This window comes from Homo sapiens, chromosome X (assembly GCF_000001405.40).
Source record: "Homo sapiens chromosome X, GRCh38.p14 Primary Assembly".
NCBI lineage: Eukaryota > Metazoa > Chordata > Mammalia > Primates > Hominidae > Homo > Homo sapiens.
In genome coordinates, this window is record NC_000023.11 from 20168663 (window position 1) to 20191806 (window position 23144).

Genomic DNA, 23144 nt, shown 5'->3' on the forward strand with positions numbered 1-23144 from the left:
CATTTAGGTAAGTGTTCAAGTAAGTGCAGATATTAAAAGCAATAATATCGTAAGTACTTTTCTTCTTAAAGCAAAAGTAGAAAAAAATAACTGTACAAACATATCTTTATTGATAAATGAAATTATGCCATATACACATATAAATTGTTTTCAAATCTACTTTTTAAACTTACCATGTTGAATTTTGTTTTGTTTTGTTTTTGTTTTTGAGACAGGGTCTTGCTCTGCTGCGCTGGCTGGAGTGCAGTGGTGCGATAACTGCTCACTGAGGTCTTGACCTGCCGGGCTGAAGCAATCCTCCCACCTCAGCCTCCAGAGTAGCTGCGACTATAGGCATGAGCCACCATGTCAGGCTAATTTTTAAATATTCTTTAGAGACAGGGTCTCCCTATGTTGCCCAGGCTGGTCTTGAACTCCTGGGCTCAAGCAATCCTCCTGCCTCAGCCTCCCAAAGTACTGGGATTACAGGTGTGAGCCACTGTGCTCGGCCTGGCTAATTAAAAAAAAATTTTTTTTTGTAGAGATGGAGATCTCACTGTGTTGACCTGGCTGGTCTTGAACTCCTGGCCTCAAGTGATCCTCCTGCCTTGGCCTCCCAAACTGCTGGGATTACAGGCGTGGGCCACTGTGCCCAGCCTATGATGAGTTCTTTGTCTACCACATGATTTTTGAAAATACACTACTTTCAATGTGAGTTAGACAACTGATTCAAATGATCCATATTAAAGAATCTACTTACATCCTTTAGAGTGATAATGTTTGGATGCTGTCCATAACGAAGAAGAATTTCAATTTCTTCTGTTGGGTCTCTCTTGCTTTTATCAATAATCTAAAAGGCAAATGTTTATCACAAAACCTCATCAACTATACAGTTATAAACATTAATTGTTTATAGCTACAGACCTTGGGTATTACCTCATGTAAATAGTGTATAAATAAGCCATTTATCAGTCAGTTTTATTCAACTACCTGGCCAGATTGTTTAATCAGAAAGCCAGTCTTGATATAGATGGCAAGGCTGTAAATTCTAACTCATGAGTCGCATTCCCACCATGCCTCTCCAATCTAAGTTTGTAAGTTTGTAGTAAGTTTAGGACTTAACCAAAAACTCAAAAAGCCTCGAGAAAAGGTACCAAGAACACAGTTAACATATCTTTTCTTCTATCCTTGAGGCCTTAAACATTTGGGAACTCAGTCAACTTCTAACCCCCCATCAATACAGATAATTAAGAGCTAGATATAACACCACCACTAGCATCTGCTTATTGAATTAAGTTTACTTCCTTTAATAAAATGCTTCAATTGAATATCCTGTTAGCTGTAAGCTACTTATAAAAGCTAATTATCTGCTAAGTAGAACAATCTTGTTTTTGAAGTTAGGCAGAAAGCTACATAGAAAATCATACCTAGCATTTTATTTGGTTAGAATTTGGTTTAATTATTATAATAAAGCCCTTTAAAATAGTAATGTAGCTTTCTAACCCTTTTATATTGGCTGCTCCTTAAAAATATTTTTCTTAATGTTTTAATCTGCTCAACTAATATTATATAAAAAAGACAAATTTTGCTTTCTATTCATTCAAAGGGTAGTCTGAAACAAATTAGGTGGCCTTTGTATGTTCAATTTTAAACAGCTTAGTAATTAAGTATGCACTAAATACCCAGACACTCCAGCAACCTAGGAAAGAGGTTACAACTCTCAAGCATGGGTCCAGTCTTCTATCTGAAATGGATTTATAGTTGACCCTTGAACAACACAGGTTTGAACTATGAGGGACCAATTACACGTGGATTTTCTTCTGCTTCTGCCACCCCTGAGACACCAAGACCAACTCCTTCTCTTCTTCCTCCCTCCTCAGCCTACTTAAGGTGAAAATGATGAGGAAAAAGACCTTTATTATGATCCACTTCCATTTAATGAACAGTAAATGTATTTTCTCTTCCTTATATATATTTTTTCTTTTTTTGAGACAGGGTCTTGCTCTGTTGCCCAGGGTGGAGTGTAGTGGCGCAATCACGGCTCACTGCAACCTCAAACCCCTGGGCCCAAGTGATCCTCCCACCTCTACCTCCTGAGTAGCTGGGACCACAGGCACATACCACTACACTCAGAAAATTTTAAAAATTATTTGTAGAGATGAGGTCTGGCTATGTTGCCAAGGCTAGAGTACAGTGGCACATAGCTCACTGCAGCCTGAACCTCCTGAGCTCAAGCAATCCTTCCGTCTCAGCCTCCTGAGTAGCTGGGACTACAGGCACATGTAGCCACGCCTGGCTAATTTTTAAACAATTTTTCTGTAGAGATAGGGTCTTGCTCTGTTGCCCAGGCTTGTCTCAAACTCCTGGCCTCAAGCAATCCTCCCACCTCGGCCTCCCAAAGTGCTAGGATTACAAACGTGAGACACTATGTCTGGCATGATTTTCTTAATAACACTTTCTTTTCTCTAGCTTACTTTATTGTAAGAATACAGTATATAATACATATAACATACAAAATAATCGACTATATATGCTATCAGTGAGGCTTCTGGTCAACAGTAGGCTATGAGCAGTTAAGTTTTGGAGAGTCAAGTTATACGTGGATTTTCAACTGCTTGGGGATCAGCACTCCCAAGTCCTGTGTTATTCAAGGGTAGACTGTACTTGTATAACAGTTCTGTATTTGGAGAACAGGGAAGGTAAACATACAGGTGCCCACTGTAATCAACTGCAAATGATAGTGTGGAATTAGGCAAATGGGTGATTAAGAGGAGAGGTATATGGAATAGACATGCTAATTTAAGAGATGACCTGGGACTAGTCTTTTGAAAACCAGAACACACTGGGAGGGGTCGTTTTTGGCATGGATCTGCTAATCTGAGCCCAGTTTGCATTAGATCTATACTTGTGCTTGTGGACCTCAAATATGTGGTAATTTCAGTAGAATCCAGTTGTGTTGGGATTGGTTTTATGAATCATTTAAGTTACAAAAATCCACAAATAGCTTGGAGATATTTTTGAGGTTTTAGGCATAGTCCTCAAGGTTTCTGTAATTCAAAGGGGCCTCAGGACATTTCTGCTTTTTATGATGTATTTATGGAGGCAAGACACATCCTTAAACTGCCTACCAAATACATTATTAGTCTTTTCTCCTTTCATGTAAGCAATTTGAAAACTTCTATGTATCTTAGATTTCAGTAAGAGCAATGAATAGGAAAATAGAAAATTAAATGTATTTCTTTTAAGAATTTCCTTCTTTAAAATTAGCTTTATTGTCCTTCCAATGAAGCAAATTAAATGTATTTTTATGGTTCATCCTTCTATCTGACAGAAAGCCCTATAGACACTGACGACTTTAAAGCAGTTACATCTAAGTTTAGAAGAGTGATAACAACTAATGTCACTATCTCTCTAAACATGAGCTATGTATATTTATAAACCAGTCCTAAGGTTCAAACAAGTTGAAAGCTTTAGACATTGTTTGAATTGCTTGAGATTGGAGAGCAGAGGTTACTATTCCAAGAAGTGAAAAGAGACTTGAACATAGTGCTTGTTCACTTACGACTAAAGGTTTGAAATTCAAACTTTATCGTAGAGCTAGGTTCCTTGGTTTTTGGCTTAGAAAATTCTGTCTTAGGATACTTGATGAAATTAAAACAGCCAATGATAACGAATTTTATGATAGTGGTTTTTATTCATTAGTTCCCAGATCCTTTTAGATGCAAAGAAAGGTATGAACTTTTTGCCAGAGAAGATGTAAACATACAAAATTTTGCACACAATTTTGAGGAATTTGCTGACACCCTGAGCATAAAATGGGGACTTCTCAGAGTAAAAAGATACTTTAAAAATCACTTGAGGTAAAAAAAGAAAAAAAATCACTTGAGGTGTAAACTGCTACTGCTCTGGGAAAACTAGATATATAACCACCTTACCTTTAGCTCACAGGGTTCTAGATTAAGATCTCTGAAGATCACTAGCCAGATATTTAACTTTTTTATAACAAAAGGCACTTTTAACAACAAGGGGAGTGTAATTTTTAACTGGTACTGACATGCATGAACAAGAACTGTATGAATTGCATTTTAAATAAAAAAAATTTACCTTCACTGCAAACTCCATGTTTGTAGCTTTATGTATACATCTCTTGCAAACAGAGTAGGAGCCAACTCCAATATCTTCTTTTACTTCATATCCATCAGTAAACTGAATACTGTTCCTGTGTAACTGCTACAAAAAATTATAAATTGGTGAAGAGTCCCATAATGCCTTTAGTGCATTTTATAATAGGGAAGTATGTTACTCAGCATGCATTGTTGATGCCCTACATATAAATGAATAAGAATAAAAATACATCTTTATAGTACTTATTATTCTACAAACAAGTGATTTTGAAAGTGTTTACAATGAAGTGTACAGCAAGAAATATGACTTAAAAAAGCTTATGTTACAAACAAAAATTGAATTTGCACAACAGAAAAAGCAGAGCTACTTGATATGGGGCCTACATCTTTGTCTGTGATTCAGCCTTATTCCAGTCCCCAGTCGGCTATAGGTTTTCAAGTACCTTTGCAAATGAGAAGTTTGAAACCTATGGTATAGAAGGAAAGGATTTAGGAGGATTCAGAATTAGAATATCTGAATTCTTGTCTCAGGTACACCACTTACAGGCTATGTAACTTTGAGCCTGTATTTTCTCAGAGGGTAATGGTGAAGATTAAATAAAAATAATGTATTTGCAAGCAATACCTGTTATCGCCATTTTGGACTTTCAGTAGCCACTCCCTCCTTTCTTCACCCTGAAGTCATAGCCTTACACAACTTATGCTAAAGAAGCTCGTCATGGGTTAGGGACTAATAACACACAGTAGATGATGAACAGCAACTTACTGATTCCATAAACAGGCTGAGGAAAGTTGTGCTGCCCTTGGCTATACTGATATGAGACATCCATGCCTATGAGCTTTGTATATGTTAAAACTTGAATTTTGTAGGATATACAAGTTTGTGGTTTCTATGTTAGGTACAGAATTTGTAATTTAAAAACTTGCCATACATTCATGTGCTTGCATAGTAAATGGCACAGACTATTTCAACATGAGCTCTGCTTAAAAACCAGTGTTTTAATTGTTTTTCTACAAAATGGAAAACAGGATAACTGACTCATGAAAAAACTTTAGAGCAAAAGCAACTTAATCATCAAGCAAATCCAAGTACAAATGATATCCTAAAAAGAATCCAATGCTTCAAAAGATATATCGAGTTCCCTTTGATTAGAAAGATGACTTAAGATTTGAGTTCATTTTTATTTCTTGTATCTTTTCTAAGGCAAAGGTTGACAAACTATGGCCAGTGAGCCAAATCTGATTCATTGCCTGTGTGTGTAAATAAAGTTTTATTGGTGCACAGCCATGCCCACTTGTTTATGTATTGTCTGTGGTTGTTTTGTGCTACATAGCAGAGTTGAGTAGTTGTGACACAGCCCATATAGCCCACAAAGCCTCAAGTATTATCTGACCCTTCACAGAGAAAGTCTGCCGACTCCTGTTCTAAGGCATCAAAGAACCAGAAGACCTCAATTCATCATAGCTGACCTGAAGGAGGCAGAGGGTGAAACAAACTCGGCATGAAAAACATTTTGAGGCACAGGAGAGGATATAGACAACATCGTCATGTTTATCTCAACTCTTTTAAAATTCTACTTTCTTTTTTTTTTTTTTTTTTCTGAGACAGAGTCTAGCTCTGTCGCCCAGGCTGGAGTACAGTGGCGGATCTCGGCTCACTGCAAACTCTGCCTCCCGGGTTCAAGTGATTCTCTTGCCTCGGCCTCCTAAGTAGCTGGGATTACAGGCATGCGCCACCACGCCCAGCTAATTTTTGTATTTTTAGTAGAGACGGGGTTTCACTGTGTTGGACAGGCTGGTCTCGAACTCCTGACCTTGTGATCTGCCCGCCTCGGCCTCCCAAAGTGCTGGGATTACAAGCATGAGCCACCGCACCTGGCCTAAAACTCTACTTTCAAGTCACATAGGTATCTAGGATTTTGGTTCTTGCAACCTTTTCGATGACATATGAAAAAAATTCCTAAGAGTAAAGTTAATGATATAAAATGTATTTTATTTTATTTTTTGAGACAGAGTTTCAACTCTGTCACCCAGGCTGGAGTGCAGTGGTGCGATCTCCGCTCACTGCAACCTCTGCCTCAGAATCAAGTGATTCTTGTGCCTCAGCCTCCTGAGTACCTGGAATTACAGGCACGTGCCACTATGCCCAACTCATTTTTGTATTTTTAGTAGAGATAGGGGTTTCACCATGTTGGCCAGGCTGGTCTTGAACTTCTGACCTCAAGTGATCCAACTGCCTTGGCCTCCCAAAGTGCTGGGATTACGGGTGTGAGCCACTATGCCCAGTCTAAAATGTATTTTAAATTGCTCACTTGAAGTCAGTAGAAAAAGATCTATTCACAGAATGAACTATATCTTACAACATTCCAAATCTAAAATTATTTAGACATCCACTCACCTGAACAATTGAATGTACACCAACTGTCTGCATAGCTTGGCTTTCATCATCTGAGGTAATAGCAACAAAACTAAACCCCCGAAAAAGCTGATGTGCATTAGCACTAGGTGGAATGCCAGGTGAATCTGAAAAGAGTAAGAAGTGACAAAGAAGATTCATTTGAAAGGAAATTAAGGGAAAAACTGTTGACACTATGACCTTTTTCACTTATTCTGGAATTCTATTTCTCAGGTACACAGTATATACCTCTTGCTTTCCAGGATACCTGTGAGGCACTGTATCAGATCTGTTCTGATTGTGTATTGCCATTACAACACCAACATCCTAGTCCCTCGGAGCCTAGAAAATAGCTAATTCATTTGAAGACTATAATACATCGATGAATTATAGGGTTAATGGTATTCAAAATTAATGCTGTCCCATGGAATTTCCTGAAATGATGGAAATTTTCTTTAACTTTACAGTCTGATAGCCACTAGCTACATGCAGCTTTTCGACATTTGAAACGTGCCTAGCGTGACTGAGAAACTACACTTTAAATTTTAATTAATTTAAATTTAATTAGCCACATGTGGCTACTGGCTACCATATTAGAAACTGCAGCCCTCAATAATAACCTAGTTGGGGTGGAACAGGGGAGATACAAGGTTGATCTACAGCAAATTTAGGAGATGTGAAGATAGCTTAGAGAGTTATCCAGGAAAAGATTTTCTTTTTTTCTTTTTGAGACAGAGTGTCGCTCTGTCACCCAGGCTGGAGTGCAGTGGTGCAATTTTGATGCACTGCAACCTCCACCTCCCAGGTTCAAGCGATTCTCGTGCCTCAGCCACCCAAGTAGCTGGGATTACAGGCACATGCCACCAAACCTGGCTAATTTTGGTATTTTTAGTAGAGACAGCGTTTCACTATGTTGGCCAAGCTGGTCTCCAACTCCTGGCCTCAAGCGATCTGCTCGCCTCAGCCTCCCAAAGTGCTGGGATTACAAGTGTGAGCCACCGCGCCCAGAGTCTGGAAAAGATTTTCTGATGAAACAAGAAAAAAACATATTTGTTGTCTTATATTTGGATTTTCACATTTTCTCCTTACCTTTGGGAGTTTTTGCAGTAAACTCAGGATCAAAATAGAATGTATCTTCAGGCCTGCCCGTTGCAGGTTTAAATGGCGGATGAATTTCTCTTCTATACAGTTTCTGGAGGGGAAAAAAAAAAGAGACTTAGACATATTTTAATTATAAAGAAATATTTCAAGCAAGTTTTCATTCTATACTTACATTCCAGTCTATCGTTGAGAAAAATGAATGTCTTTTAATTTCTTCAACTCCATCTGGTCCTGCACCTATCAAAAATGGATTCACTGATAATTTTATTTCAAGGAGAAATATACATATTGCTCAGCCTTTGTTTTCAATACTTGTCTAATTAATTAATTAATTAATTAATTAATTTTGAGACAAGGGCTTGCTCTGTCACCCAGGCTGGAGCGCAGTGGTGTGATCTCAGTTCACTGCAGCCTCAACCTCTCAGGCTCAAGTGATCCTCCTACCTCAACTTCCTGAGTAGCTGGGACTACAGGCACGCACCACCATGCCTGGCTAATTTTTGTATTTTTTGTAAAGATGAGGTTTTGCCATTTTTCCCAGGCTGGTCTTGAACTCCTGGACTCAAGTAATTCTCCCGCCTTGGTCTCCCAAAGTGCTGGGATTACAGGCGTGAGCCACCAGGCCTAGCCTTGTCTAAATAGTTAATAATTCCACCACAAAACAAATATCTACTCCCCGCTAAAAACAAACACCAACAAACATACAACATAAACAAATTAGTTAAAATTTTTACCTAATCTGTTTGCAGGATTTCGCTTGAAAAGCATTCGTAAAAGACTCTGCGCTTCAGGACTCAAAAACTGTGGCATTCCAAGTTTGGCTCTAAATAATAAATCCACATAATATTTTATTTTTTGGAGGCATCTGTATTTTTATTTTTAAAAATTCTTAAATTAAACTTTTTGAGATACTTGTAGATTCACACTCAGTTGTAAGAAATAATACAGAGAGATCCCCTGTGCCCTTTACCCAGTTTCCCCCAATGGTAACATCTTACAAAACTACAGTACAATATCACATCCAGGATATTGACATGGAGACAATCCAATGATCTCATTCACATGGCACTGGTTTTATTTGCACTTATTTGTGTGTGTGTTTAGTTCTATGCCATTTTATTACATGTATGGCTTCTGTATGAATATGTCACAGTTTATTTATCCATTATCTGTTGAAGGACATTTGGGTTGTGCCCAGTTTGGGGCTAATATGAATAAAGCTACAGTGAACATTTATGTACAGGTTTTCATGTGAACACATAACTGAATTTTAGTTCATAATCTAATAAGCTTTTTCATTTTTCAAAATTTTGCAAAGAGCACTGTGAAAGTAAGATCATTTGAATCCTAGTTCTGGCTCTGTTACTAAGAACTTTGTGACAGTGGGAAAGCCAATTATTCTGGGCCTGTTATCATTTCTTCATAAGCAAAGGGATTGGTCTCTAGACCAATAGCTCCCAAAGTATAGCCTCGGAACTCCTCCTCAAAGGGAATTTAAGAAACCTAACATTTAAAGCTGCTAAGAGAACATGTGTTTCATATGCCACTTTTTCCTTTCTATTCCCTTTAACAGCCCCTGAAGGGAAGGGGAACTGTGGGAAAGAGGATTGTGAAATATTGAAGATACACAGTCTAAAAACTGCTGGCCTAGATGAACTTGAAGGTCTGTTTCAGCTCTAATTTTAATTCTTTTTCCAAACCTACAAATTAAAGAAACCAATGATCCTGTAAGTATGACAATAATAATAGAGCTGGGGAAAATTCCTATTTCAGAAACAGATCCATTTATTATTCAGTGGGTTGTTATTGAGCTATTACATGCCAGACACTGTTTAGTGCTGAGGATACAGAGATAAAGAGAGCCCATGAAACTCATGGTCCATGGTGAAGATGGATACAGATAATGCTAGTACATTAAGAGACAAATGCAGAAGAACATATGCAAAGAGTGACAAGGGAACAGTAGGGGATATTTAATTTAACATGGGAGATTATGAAAGGTCTTCAATGCAATCTAAAGGCTAACAATTTATTCATTTGGCTAGTGTTTCCCCAAATTTTACTGAATAACATTAATCCCTCTAGATAGTTAGCAACAATAAAAAAATTCATGACCCAATGAGCTTGTAGAATGCTATTTATTATATCCCCCTATTAGACACACAGAATTAAAATACACTGCATATAAAAAGGCTGAGAAATCTAGAGCAAACAAATCAGTTTTTTTTTTTTTTTTTTTTAAGACAGAGTATCCAGGCTGGACTGCAGTGGCACAATCTCGGCTCACTGCAATCTCTGCCTTCTGGGTTCAAGGGATTCTCGTGTCTCAGCCTCCCAAGTAGTTGGGATTACAGGTGTGTGCTACCACACCTGGCTTTTTTTTTTTTTTTTTTTTTTTTTGTAGAGATGGAGTTTTGCCATGTTGACTAGGCTGGTTTTGAACTCCTAGCCTCAAGTGATCCTCCCACTTCAGCCTCTCAAAGTGCTGGGATTATGGGTGAAATCAGTATTTTCTAAGTATTTATTTCCAGCACCTCTTTTTCAAAGAATACCTATTAATATCTTGTAGAATTAATATTCTCTTGGACAAATCTGGGGAAACACTATTGTATTAGGTAACAAGGATGCAGCAGAGGTCCTGAAACTGGACTAACATGACTAGACTTATTTTCAAGAAGGTAACTCCAAGGGTAATAGAGAACAATTTGGAGTGGGAAGAGGTCATAAGTGGTAGGCAATCAACTTAGGAATGTGGTCAGATAGTATGGGTAAGAGGTCACTGTTTTCTGAATACTTTAAGCAGTTTAATTCAGAGGAAAGGCTGGAACAGTGAAATAATTCTGAGATCGAATTTGGAGAATACCTAATTATGCAAAAGAGAGAAGGAATAAAAAATGATTTCCTGGTTTCTGGCTTGGAAGAGGGTGCATGAAAATGCTGATAACTGGGAGTATAAGAAAAGAACAGCAAATAAAGATACATTTAGTTCAAAGATGTGAAGTCATGCATGTAATATGTTTTGGGAGGGCCAGGCAGGTGAGTAAATAGAAACACAGGTCTAATGCCTGGTAAATTCATGTAAGAAAGAGTGATTTGAGAGTAATTAAAATGTGGAGGGTAGTTATAGGAAAGACTGAAGTCAGTCAGGAAAGAGTGCAGAGGGGGAAGAAAAGCATATCATAGACGGATCCTGGGGGATAAGACCATTTAAAAGGTAGTCAGAAAAAGAACAATTAGGGCATTAAAAATAATGACTGCAATTGGCTGAATCACACTGATTATTAAATCCCATGAGTTTATTATGTAAAGTAAGAAAAAGCAAAGTCAAAATACAAAAACTCGACTCACTGGATACTACCCCCACTAGGAAGTAACTAGGGCTCTGACATTAGAAACAATTTAAGAAAAGAATTAAGTATTTATTCTCTTTTTCTTGGATGAGCGTTATTTCAAGTAATTAAATCATCATAGTTGATGAGGGAAAGTTTGTTGAGAAAATACCAGCTAATAAATGAGGAAGGAATAATAATAATAATAGAAAATCATGGCTGGTGCATAGTGGCTCATGCCTGTAATCCCAACACTTTGGGAGGCGGAGGTGGGAGGATCACTTGAGCCCAGGAGTTTGAGACCTGCCTGGCAACATAGCAAGATACCATCTGTACAAAAGATTAAAGAACTTGGCTGGGCATGGTGGTGCACCTGTAGTCCTAGCTACTCCAGATGCTGAGGCAGGAGGATCGTTTGAGCCCAGGAGTTTGATGTTGCAGTGAGCTGTAATCATGCCACTGCATTCGAGTCTGGGCAACAGAGCAAGACCTCATCTCCAAAATTTAAACTTTTTTTTTTTTTTTTAAAAGAAAAGCAATTCATCACTTTTGAATTCCTTATAAAATAACTGTTTCAAGTAATGATTATTAATGGATAGAACCATTAGTTAAAAGCATGCCAGGGAACTTTACAACGGAGGAATCAGCTGCAACCACTGGAGCCCATCACTTAAAGTGGGGGCAACCAGGTATTGTAAGCCTCCTGATGTAATAGGGACCACACGGTATTAGCTGTGAAATAATCTTGCTAAAACAGTTTAACCAAAAACAGAATAGAGGATCAAGCTAATAACACTAAGGGAATAAAAAAAAATTTCCATACTCCTAGGAAAAGACTAATTGTTATGTAACCATGGTAACAAGAGAACCACCAGAACTGGTTTTAAATCCTTTCAGTTGGTTTAAAATCCATTGAATTGATCAATGACAACTTGCCTGGTGAACACCTGCAAAGATGAGTAACTGCTCTTTGTCTCTGAAAATTAGCCAAACAGGAATGGACTCACTCCAATAAACACACCTGAATGCCCACTGATCAACAACAGTCCCACCCAAATAATCACATTCTTACAGATAATGTCAACCCACTTATAGACATGAAACTCTGCCACTTCTTGAGCTCCACCCTTCCTCAAAACCCTATATAAGATTAGTGGTCTACTATATTTGGGGAGACTCTAGCCTTACCATAGCAAAGAATAAAATAAACTTTATGCTTTTTGTTTCAGATATTGAGAGGGGGTCTCATTCTTTGACAAGATAAATCCAGAAAGCAGAGTTCTATAAAACAACTGACTAGGTTTCTATGAATAAACAGCAGGGGAAAAACAGGGATAGATAACAGAAGTTTAAGAAGTACAACCAAATGGAATGTGCAGACTTGATTTGGATCCAACTGTAAAGACACAGTTTTGAAGAAAATCTGAAAAACTTAGTTAAGGACTGATGATACCTAAGCATTATTGCTAGTTTTATGTGGATGTGTAAGAAAACACCCATATTTTTAGCAAGGCAAACTGAATTAAGTAGATATGTCTGGAATGCTTATAATACTTCAGTAAAGAAAAGAAAAAAAGAATAGATAAAGCAAAATGGCCAAATCTTGATAAATGTCGAATCTGGGTAACAGGTATATGTGTTCACTGAATTATTCTATTTTTGATAGTTCATATTTGAAAATTTTTATAATTAAAAAAGGAAAAACAGGAAGAGAAGAAATCATGTAAAAGAGACCAAAAGGGGAACGGTTAGAGAGGTGGAAGAAGTAGATCAAAGTAGGAAAAACTATGGAGGGAGGGAGTGGCCACCAGTGTCAAATACTCAGAGATGCCTTTCTTGAGTGTCCCATCTAATATGGCTCCTGCTTTCTGCTCCTTCCCTCACACAGTAAGGAGTCACTATTATGAGTACAGAATTCCGATTTATTATCCTTATATCTCCTATTACTATCTGAAATTGTTTAGATATTAATTCCTTGTCTCCCCCACTAAAATATAAGCTCTGAAGACCACCAAAGACCTTTTCAGTCTTGTTAATACTACATCTCAAGTATGAGTAGCAAGAACTGAAACATCTGTTAAATGAATTGTGTGAATGAATGGTAGAGTCATCCTTTTGACAACCTGCCACTGGTTTTAGCAACCAGAAGATCACTGATAGCCACAGAGAGAGCAGTTTCAGTAGAGTGGTGGGGATGAATGACAAATAGGCTGTGGAATAAAAGAAGCCAAAAAAGTAGTAACAGAAAGCATAGACTACTTTTTAAAGAGGCTTTGTGTTGAAAGGATGCAGGAAGATGGTACAGTAACTTGAAAGGAAGGCCAAGTCAAAGAAGGATTTAGTTTCTTCAACACGAGAGTGTTTGTTCGCTGAAAGGGAGGGATCAAAGTAGATGAAGTGATAAAGGTTCAGTGATGAAAGTTCAGTGAACATTCATTTATGTAGCACATCTTTTTAGACCTTTTATATTGTGTAGAATAATATAAAATGCCCCAAAAAACCCCGAACAAAAACACCCAAAGTACACAGCTCAATTATTTACCACAAACTGAATAGTTATCTGGCCAAGACACATAACATTGCCAGAACCCCTCATCCAGTGTAACCACTTCCCTTATTTTGCCTCAGGCTTTTAACCATCTAAATATGAACCCTAAAAACTATGCTTTAGTTTTGCCTGCTTTGTAAACTTTACAAATAGAATCATATAGTACTTTTTCTTTTGTGTCTGTACTTCCTTAGCTCCACATTCTTGTGAGATTTATCTAAGTTGTTGCATGTAACTGTGGTTTGTTCATTTTCTTTGTTGTATGGCATACTACACCCATGCGCCAAGGCTTCAGCCTGTTTTTGAATGGCTCTCAAGAATTGTTTTATATTTTTACAGGGTTGGAAAAAAAATACAAAGAATATGTGACAGAGACTGTGTGTGGCCCACAGAGCGTAAATACAACAACTTCTATTGTATTCGACTGTACGAATATACCATCATTTATTAATTGATTCTTCTGTTAATAATCAGGTTTCCACTTTTTGGCTATTACAAATAATGTTGCTATGAACGGCTTTGTACTTGTTTTTTGATGTGTGAGTAACTAGATTCTTTTAACATGGGTGCATGTCTAGGAGTGGGAATTACTGGATGAGGGTATACATATATTTGTCTTTAGAAGATAAGGACAAAAACTGCTTTCCAAAGTGGTTATATGAGTATTGATATTCCTTCCAGCTATGTATAAAAGTTGCCACTGCTTCACATCCCACCATTTTGTACTGTCAGTCTTTTTATTTTTATTTATTAAAATTTTTGTATAGGGCAGCAGTCTGGGCCAAAAATGGTTCAGAATGCTCCTGTCAATCTTTTTAATTTTAGCCATTCTGGTGAGTATGCAGTGATATTTCCTTGTGATTTTAATTTGCATTTTCTGATTAACGAGGTTGAGTATCTTTTCATAAGTTTTTTGGCCATTGAATATCCTCTTCTGTCAGATCCCTAAGTCTCTTGCCCATGTTTTTATTGGGTTGGCTTTTTCTTATTGATTGGGGTTCTAGATAGATTGGTAATGATTTTTATGTATGGTGGAAGGTAGGAATTTTAAAAAAAATTTTTAATTCTTTTAAAGCAAATTTTTTTTGAGACACGATCTTGCTCTATTACCCAGGCTGGAGTGCAGTGGCATGATCATGGCTCACTGCATCCTTGACCTCCTGGGCTCAAGCGATTCTCCCACCTCAGCCTCCCAAGTAGCTAGGACTACAGGTGTGCACTACCACACCTGGATAATTTTTATATTCTTTAACTCATGGCCTCAAGTGATCCTCCCACCTCAGCCTCCCAAAGTGTTTGGATTACAGGTGTGAGCCACCACTCCCTGCCTATTTTTTATACGAATATTTAACTTTTCCAGCATGATTTATTAAGAAAAGGCTATTCTTTCCCTACTGCTCTGAAATTCCCAATGGTCGCAAATTAAGTGTCCACATATATAGATCTGTTTCTGGGTTCTTTATTCTTTTGCATAGATCTACTTTCCACACTTGTTTCAATGCTGTATTATCTTAGTTACTGTTATAATAAGACTTAATACCTGGTAAAGCAAGTCTTCCTATCTTGGTCTTCGAGAGTATTTTAGCTACTCTTTGTCCTTTGTATTATCATATTAGAATCAGTTTATCAAGATTCACATTAAAAAGTTGTTAGGATTTTAATTTTATTTGCATTGAAACTATAGTTTTGTCATCCATTATAGTAGCCACTAGCTACATATGGCTACTGAGCACCTGAAATGTGCCAATCCACATTGTAAGTGTAAAATACACATTGAATTTCAAATGAGTATGAAAAAAATTAGTTTACAACAAATACCTCAATCAATTTTTAACATTGGTTACATGCTGAAATAACATCTTGGGTACACTGGGTTAAATAAAATATTACAATTAACTTTCCTTTTACTTTTTTATTTTTTTTATTTTTTGAGATGAATTTCATTCATCACCCAGGCTGGAGTGCAGCGGCATGATCTTAGCTCACTGCAACCTCCGCCTCCCGGGTTCAAGTGATTCTCCTGCCTCAGCTTCCCAAGTAGCTGGGATTACAGGTGTGTGCCACCACGCCCAGCTAATTTTTGTATTTTTAGTAGAGACAGGGTTTTGCCATGTTGGCCAGGCTGGTCTCGAACTCCTGACCTCAGGTGATCCACCCGCTTTGGCCTCCCAAAGTGCTGGGATTACCTGCCTCTTTTTACTTTTTTAAATGTAGGTACTAGAAAACTTAAAATTACGTATGTGGTTCGCATTACTTTTCTTTTTTTTTTTTTTTTTTTGAGACAGGGTCTCGCTCTTCACTCTGTTGCTCAGGTTGGAGTGTAGTGGTGTGATCAGGGCTCACTGCAGTCTTGACCTCCCAGGCTCAAGTGATCCTCTCACCTCAGCCTCCCAAGTGGCTGGGACTACTGGCACGTGCCACCACATCTGGCTAATTTTTTTATCTTTTATTTTTGTAGAGATGGGGTTTTGCCATGTTGCCCAAGCTGGTCTCAAACTCCTGGGCTCAAGCAATCTGCCCACTTCGGCCTCCCAAAGTGGTGGGATTATAGGCATGAGCCACCATGCCTGGCTGGTTCACATTATATTTCTAGTGGATAACACTGATCTATAAAAATGTTATCTTTACAACACTGGGTCTGTCATAACATGAACATGGTATATTCTTTCAAGTTATTTTGGTCTTTTAAAATTTCTTTAAATAAAATTTTCTGGTTTTTTTGCACAGAGGTCTTACACAACTTCTGCTAGATTTATCACTAGGTATCTGAGAATTTTTACATTGTTGTAAACACTGTCCTCTTTGAAAATTCCATTTTTTTTTTGAGATGAAATTTCACTCTTATTGCCCAGGCTGGAGTGCAGTGGCATGATCTTGGCGCACTGCAACCTCTGCCTCCCGGGTTCAAGTGATTCTCCTGCCTCAGCCTACCGAGTAGTTGGGATTACAGGCACCTGCTACCATGCCCGAATAATTTTTTCTATTTTTAGTAGAGACAGGGTTTCGCCATGTTGGCCAGGCTGGTCTCGAACTCTGGACCTCAGGTGATCTGCCTGCCTCGGCCTGCCAAAGTGCTGGGATTACAGGTGTGAGCCACTGTGCCCGGATAAAAATTCCATTTTCTATTCCTAGTATAGAGACATGGAATAGATTTTTGTTTATTGACCTTGTATCCAGTAACTTTGCTAAACTCTTATTAATTCTAAGAATTTATATGATCACTGGATTTTCTTTTCTTTTCTTTTCTTTTTTGAGACAGGGTTTTGCTCTGTCACCCAGGCTGGGGTGCAGTAGAACCATCTCAGCTCACTGTAGCCTCAAGCTCCTGGGCTCAAATGATTCTCCTGTCTTAGCCCCCATCTGCCACCCCACAAAGTAGCTGGGACTACAGGTGCTTACCAACATGCCTGGCTAATTTTTGCATTTTTTTGTAGAGATGGGGTTTTGCTATGTTGTGCAGGCTGATGACTGGATCTTCTATGGATACAGTCATGTTATCTAAATAATGATAATTTTATTTCTTCTTTTTAAACCTTATACTTTACTTTTTTGCTTGACTTACCATATTGGCTAGGACTTCCAGGACAATGTGGACAGAAGTGAAATAATGGGCATCCTTGCCATATTACAAATCCCAAAAGTAAAGCTTTCAGTATTTCACTATTAACATGAAGATAATATGAGTACTCTAAATCTACGCAGTCTGTTCATATTCAAACCACGTAATATTGATGAATTTCTTAGTTATTTCTTATACTACAGCCAACACTCTAAAATCTCATTTTTTAGTGTGAAACATTTATTTTATTTTACTTTTTTGAGATAGAGTCTCGCTCTGTTGCCCAGGATGGAGTGCAGTGGTGTGATATCAGCTCACTGCAACCTCCACCTCCCGGGTTCAAGGGATTCTCCCACCTCAGCCTCCTGAGTACTGCTGAGACTACAGGTGTGTACCACCATGCCCGGCTAAGTTTTGTATTTTTAGTAGAGATGGGGTTTCACCATGTTGGCCAGGCTGGTCTCAAACTCCTGATCTCAAGTGATCCGTCTTCCTTGCCCTCCCAAAGTGCTGGGATTACAGGCATGAGCCACAGCGCCCAGCCTGAAGCATTTATTTTAAAATCTCATCAAAACATCTATATTAAGGGAGTACTTACTTAAGAATCATAGTCATTGTTTCTTTTCGATCTTTTCCTTGGAAAGGGAGTGTACCAGTAAGCATTTCAAACTACAGAAAGGCAAAATAATCAGAAGTGTTAGTCAATAAATATAAAATCTGAAGGCCAGAAGGTAAAAAAAAAAAAAAGCATCATTTTAATTATAACCAAATATTCTAAAATTGCTACATAACAAGTGTTTTCTATTTCTACCATATTCGTTACTGAAGTTCTTGATAATTCCTAAAACAACTGAGCTATACAGTTTTTTTTTTTTTGTAGAAATCAATCACATTTTTATTTTATTTTTTTTTTGAGACAGGGCCTGGCTCTGTTGCCCAGGCTGGAGCCCAGTGGTGCAATCTCAGCTCACTGAAGCTTCCATCTCCTGGGCTCAAGCAATTCTCCCACCTCAGCCTCTCAAAGTGCTGGGATTAGAGGCATGGGCCACCATGCTCAGCTTCATCAATCACATTTCAAATGGCAATTTTAAAGTGTAGATATGTGAACAATTTGATAGATATGCCAATTTCATATGAACTTATTTATTTTTTTTGAGACGGAGTCTTACTCTGTCACCCAGGCTGGAGTGCAGTGGCACGATCTTCACTCACTGCAATCTCCGTCTCCTGGGTTCAAGTGATTCTCCTGCCTTAGCCTCCCAAGTAGCTGGGATTACAGGTGTGTGCCACCATGCCTGGCTAATTTTTTGTAGTTGTAGTAGAGACAGGGTTTCACCATGTTGTCCAGGCTGGTCTTACAGGCATGAGCCACCACGCCCAGCCTGATTTTTGTATTTTTAGTAGAAACGGGGTTTCACCATGTTGGCCAGGCTGGTTTCGAACTCCTGACTTTAAGTGATCCACCTGCCTCGGCCTCCCAAAGTGCTGGGATTACAGGCGTGAGCCACCGCGCCCGGCAGAACTTACTATATATTTTTTGAGACAGAGTCTCGCTCTGTTGCCCAGGCTGGAGTGCAATGGCATGATCTTGGCTCACTGCAACCTCTGCCTCCCAGGTTCTAGCGATTCTCCAGCCTCAGCCTCCTGAGGTGTGTGCCATCCTGCTCAGCTACTTTTTGTATTTTTAGTGGAGATGGGGTTTTGCCATGTTGGCCATGCCGGTCTTGAACTCCTGACGTCAGGTGATCTACCCGCCTCAGCCTCCCAAAGTGCTAGGATTACAGGTGTGAGCCACTGCACTCGGCCAAACGAACTTATTTTAAGGGTCACTTACTAACAGATTTCTGGACCAGTTTCTCCAAAAGACCAAACACCATTAATGCTTTAGATTGTTACTATTAGCAGGAAATCTATGGTAATATTTTTTTTTGCCCTTTCAAATTAGGATGAGATAGACGCAGCTAACAGATTTCATAGTCCTTCTATACTGCATGCAATAATGTTTCTTGGTTATTTATTACATATGGCATAAAATAAAGAAAATAAAAACACCAGTTTCTTTAACATTCACTGCTGATCCTCACTTAACAATCTCCTTCCCCTCTAAAAAATCCCAAATTCAAACCTTACCATTAACACACCAAAAGACCACCAGTCAGCACTCTGAGTATGACCTCGACGATTAACTACTTCTGGAGCCATATACTCCACAGTTCCACAAAAAGAATATGCCTTCTTTTCATGGTCAATAGACTCTTTACTTAGGCCGAAATCTGCCAAAACAAATATCATAAATATCCTACATAAATTTGCACATGTAAATTTTAAACTTTGAGTTCTGACATTAATCATTTAAAATTTCTAATACAAGTTTTTTTTGTTTGTTTGTTTTTTGAGACAGAGTCTCGCTCTGTCACCCAGGCTGGAGTACAGTGACGCCATCTTGGCTCACTGTATCCTCTGCCTCCCGGGTTCAAGTGATTCTCCTGCCTCAGCCTCCCAAGTAACTGGGATTACAGGCGTGCACCACCATGCCCAGCTCATTTTTTTGTATTTTAAGTAGAAACAGGGTTTCACCATGTTAGCCAGGCTAGTCTTGAATTCCCGACCTCAAGTGATCCACCTGCCTCAGCCTCCCAGAATGCTGGGATTACAGGGGTGAGCCACTACGCCTGGCCCTAATACAAGTTTTTAATTTTAATACAGTGTATTACTCAATATTTGTACCACAATCAACCTTAAAGGAAAGTATATATTGTAGGAGAAAATATTTTAATAAAACGAGGATTTTTTTTTTACCTGTTAACTTGATGTGACCTTCTTCATCAAGAAGTATACTGAAAAAAACAAAGAAAATCTTTTAAGAACACTAAATAGAGATTTATAGAAGCTAAGACTGAAATTACATCCTTAAGCATCAGATCACCACATTTACTCTAAAACATTGCTTTAGACTGTGAATAAGATGGCAAAGGCAAAGGAGGAACAAATTATTTTTTGGACACACATTTATAACAAAGCCCAAAGGCAATGCCATAAACTTGTATTAATATGCCAGGGGCACTTGAAAATTATTAGGAAAAGAATCAAATCACCTGTACTCTTCCCAGCTGCTCTTTCTAATGCCTTTCTGCAGACGTAGTTTGACTAAACCCCCTAGTGCCTGCATTAATAGACAGAGGGTCCACACATTTAATTCAAAAACATCAGACATGTCATTCTCTTGGTTATTTTATTTTGCCTTTTTTTCCTTTTTGTGGAGAATAGGGTATCACTATGTTGCCCAGGCAGGTCTTGAACTGCTGGGCTCAAGCTATCTTCTTGCTTCTGCCTCCCTGAGTGCTGGGATTACTCCCTAAGGTGTGAGCCACTGCGTGCCCAGCTCTCTTGGTCATTTTAAAGGTATCTGACTCAATCATTGTTTCCTTATTTTTTTTTTCCTGACACAACCTACACAATCCTCTTCTCCTTCCCCATACTCCTTGTTTTTCATTGACCCCTCCCTTCACTATACATATTCTCCAGGGTTTTCTCTCTTCCCCAATAAACTGTGAGCTCCTAGAAGGTTTGACCTTATTCATCTTTATAGCTCAGTGTCTGGCAGTGTACAGTACAAACAAGAAATGTTGAATGAATAAGGCCTGTTTGCAAAGGGCCTACAGGGCATTCCAAATAGTTTGGGCTTCTTGTCAAGGACAAGGGAGACCATAAATGGTGTACATTCATGGAGGGTAGAGAAATTTACAGAGAAAATAAAGGGCATTTAGTGAGCTCACTGGGTCATGATAAAGAACAACTGGAGAATGACACTCAGGTTTCTGGCTTGAGCAGATACTTGAGTGGAGAGTAATGCTATTAATCAAGGAGCTACAGAAAGGAGAGAGTACTAAGCTGTAAGCCAATAATTGTGTTAAGTTGGTGCAGAAGTAATTAAAAGTAATGGCAAAAACTGCAATTGCTTTTGCACCAACCTAATATTTCTGGATAGGTATGGGATCAAGCAATAAACTGTTTCACTTATATTTAAAGCTATCCCACAATATAGGCATTTCCTTACTTTTATTTTAACTAAAAATGTGCAAGTCAAACTTTGTTATAAAATTTTACTATAACAAAAATATTACCAATCTTTCTATTTCATAAATGCAAACATAATTACAACAAAGTTTACCACTGAAGGTAATTCAGTAGGGACATGTTTTTCAAGTTTCTTTTATCATAAGCACCTGTTATGAAAAATATTAATATTGATTCTGCTTGATTATGAAGAGATCAACACATTTAGAGAGTATAAAGGGCATTATTAGGTACTGTAGAAATCATCCTCCCTTCTAGTGAATACATGAAAAACAGTTCTAAAAACAAAACTTCAAGTCATTCTCGGTAATTCTGAAAGAAAAAAGGATAATATGGCTGAAAGGGCATTAGTTACGCCTTCTGTAGCAAATGCATTCTTCTAAGATAACCATGCTTATACTGTATCTTTGAAAGAAAAAGTCAACTGTATCACTCTCAATAAACAACATTCCTTTTCAATGGTTACTAATTTTTAGTCATATTTATTACAACAGAGTTCTAGTTTAAAAGAATCTGAAAAACCCTTAACAGTTCATAAAATATTTGGCCTAAAAATTTAAATTTCTCCCAAGTTCTGTATGATGGTATTTACTTGTATAATTCACCAAGTAAGTGTTATTTCTAATTAATAGCATCATCTAGACATGTATGTTTAAGATCTTAATATAAGCAATCTTATTTACATCTGATCTTATTAAAGCCTTGAGACAGGGCTCATACTTTAATGTAACTTTATGACCAATGCCAATACAATGGTCTATGGTAAATATATTCAATTAAATAGTATAAAACACACATTTTTATGAATGTTTAATCTTATGTTTATAGTAATTTTTCTAAGGACTATATGCTTGAATATTCATTCTCACCAATAATTATATTTTGTGTCACAATAGTTATAAGTTGGGAAAATAATCAGGAAAACTCAGCAGTTATTTGGGGAATAAAAACAAAACCATATGAAACTTATCCAAAAACAATAAAAAAAACATAAAATATAAAAGCATAACAATTTCTAAATGATCACTTAGAAGAGTTCCAGATGAGCATTTCCTCTCTTCCTGTGTTAATACAGAATTTAAATTTTGTACTAACTTTTTTTTTTTTTTATTATGCTTTAGGTTCTAGGATACATGTGCAGAACGTGCAGGTTTGTTACATAGGTATACACATGCCATGGTGGTTTGCTGCGCCCATTAACCCGTCATTTACATTAGGCATTTCTCCTAATGCTATCCCTCCCCTAGCCCCCTAACTCCTGACAGGCCCCGGTGTGTGGTGTTCCCCTCCCTGTGTCCATGTGTTCTCATTGTTCAACTCCCACTTATGAGTGAGAACATGCAGTGTTTGATTTTCTGTTCCTGTGTTAGTTCGCTGAGAATGATGGTTTCCAGCTTCATCCATGTCCCTGCAAAGGACATGAACTCAGCATTTTTTATAGCTGCACAGTATTCCATGGTGTATATGTGCCACATTTTCTTTATCCAGTCTATCATTGATGGGCATTTGGGTTGGTTCCAAGTCTTTGCTATTGTGAATAGTGCTGCAATAAACATACGTGTGCATGTGTCTTTATAGTAGAATGATTTATAATCGTTTGGGTATATACATGGTAATGGGATTGCTGGGTCAAACGGTATTTCTGGTTCTAGATCCTTGAGGAATCGCCACACTGTCTTCCACAATGGTTGAACTAATTAACACTCCCACCAACAGTGTAAAAGCGGTACTATTTCTCCACATCCTCTCCAGCATCTGTTGTTTCCTGACTTTTTAATGATCGCCATTCTAACTGGCGTGAGATGGTATCTCATTGTGGTTTTGATTTGCATTTCTCTAATGACCAGGGATGATGAGCTTTTCTTTCATATGTTTGTTTGCCACATAAATGTCTTCTTTTGAGAAGTGTCTGTTCATATCCGAGAGAAATATTCAAAATTCTTAATATGATGGTTGTACAACTCTGTGAATATACTAAAAATCAATGAATTATACACTTCTTTTTTTTTGAGACTGAGTTTCGCTCTTGTCA

At 37.9% G+C, this 23144-nt stretch overlaps 1 protein-coding gene across 17 annotated transcripts in view; it reads right to left on the reverse strand.

Annotated features, from left to right (window-relative positions):
• Window positions 1-23144, reverse strand: part of RPS6KA3 (ribosomal protein S6 kinase A3) — a 117187-nt gene that overhangs the window by 18752 nt on the left and 75291 nt on the right. For 6 of the 17 annotated variants that reach the window (XM_047442335.1, NM_001438340.1, XM_047442332.1 and 3 more), the window contains 9 exons: window positions 19835-19872; window positions 19166-19308; window positions 17634-17704; window positions 8334-8422; window positions 7772-7836; window positions 7588-7690; window positions 6502-6626; window positions 4084-4209; window positions 740-829 (listed from right to left, as the gene is read on the reverse strand). In XM_047442335.1, coding sequence (XP_047298291.1) covers window positions 740-829; window positions 4084-4209; window positions 6502-6626; window positions 7588-7690; window positions 7772-7836; window positions 8334-8422; window positions 17634-17704; window positions 19166-19308; window positions 19835-19872 — 850 coding nt within the window. Of the gene's footprint in view, window positions 1-739; window positions 830-4083; window positions 4210-6501; window positions 6627-7587; window positions 7691-7771; window positions 7855-8333; window positions 8423-17633; window positions 17705-19165; window positions 19309-19834; window positions 19873-23144 lie in introns of all 17 variants that reach the window. The other 11 variants (XM_011545561.3, XM_011545555.2, XM_011545560.2 and 8 more) reach the window with 3 other exon arrangements.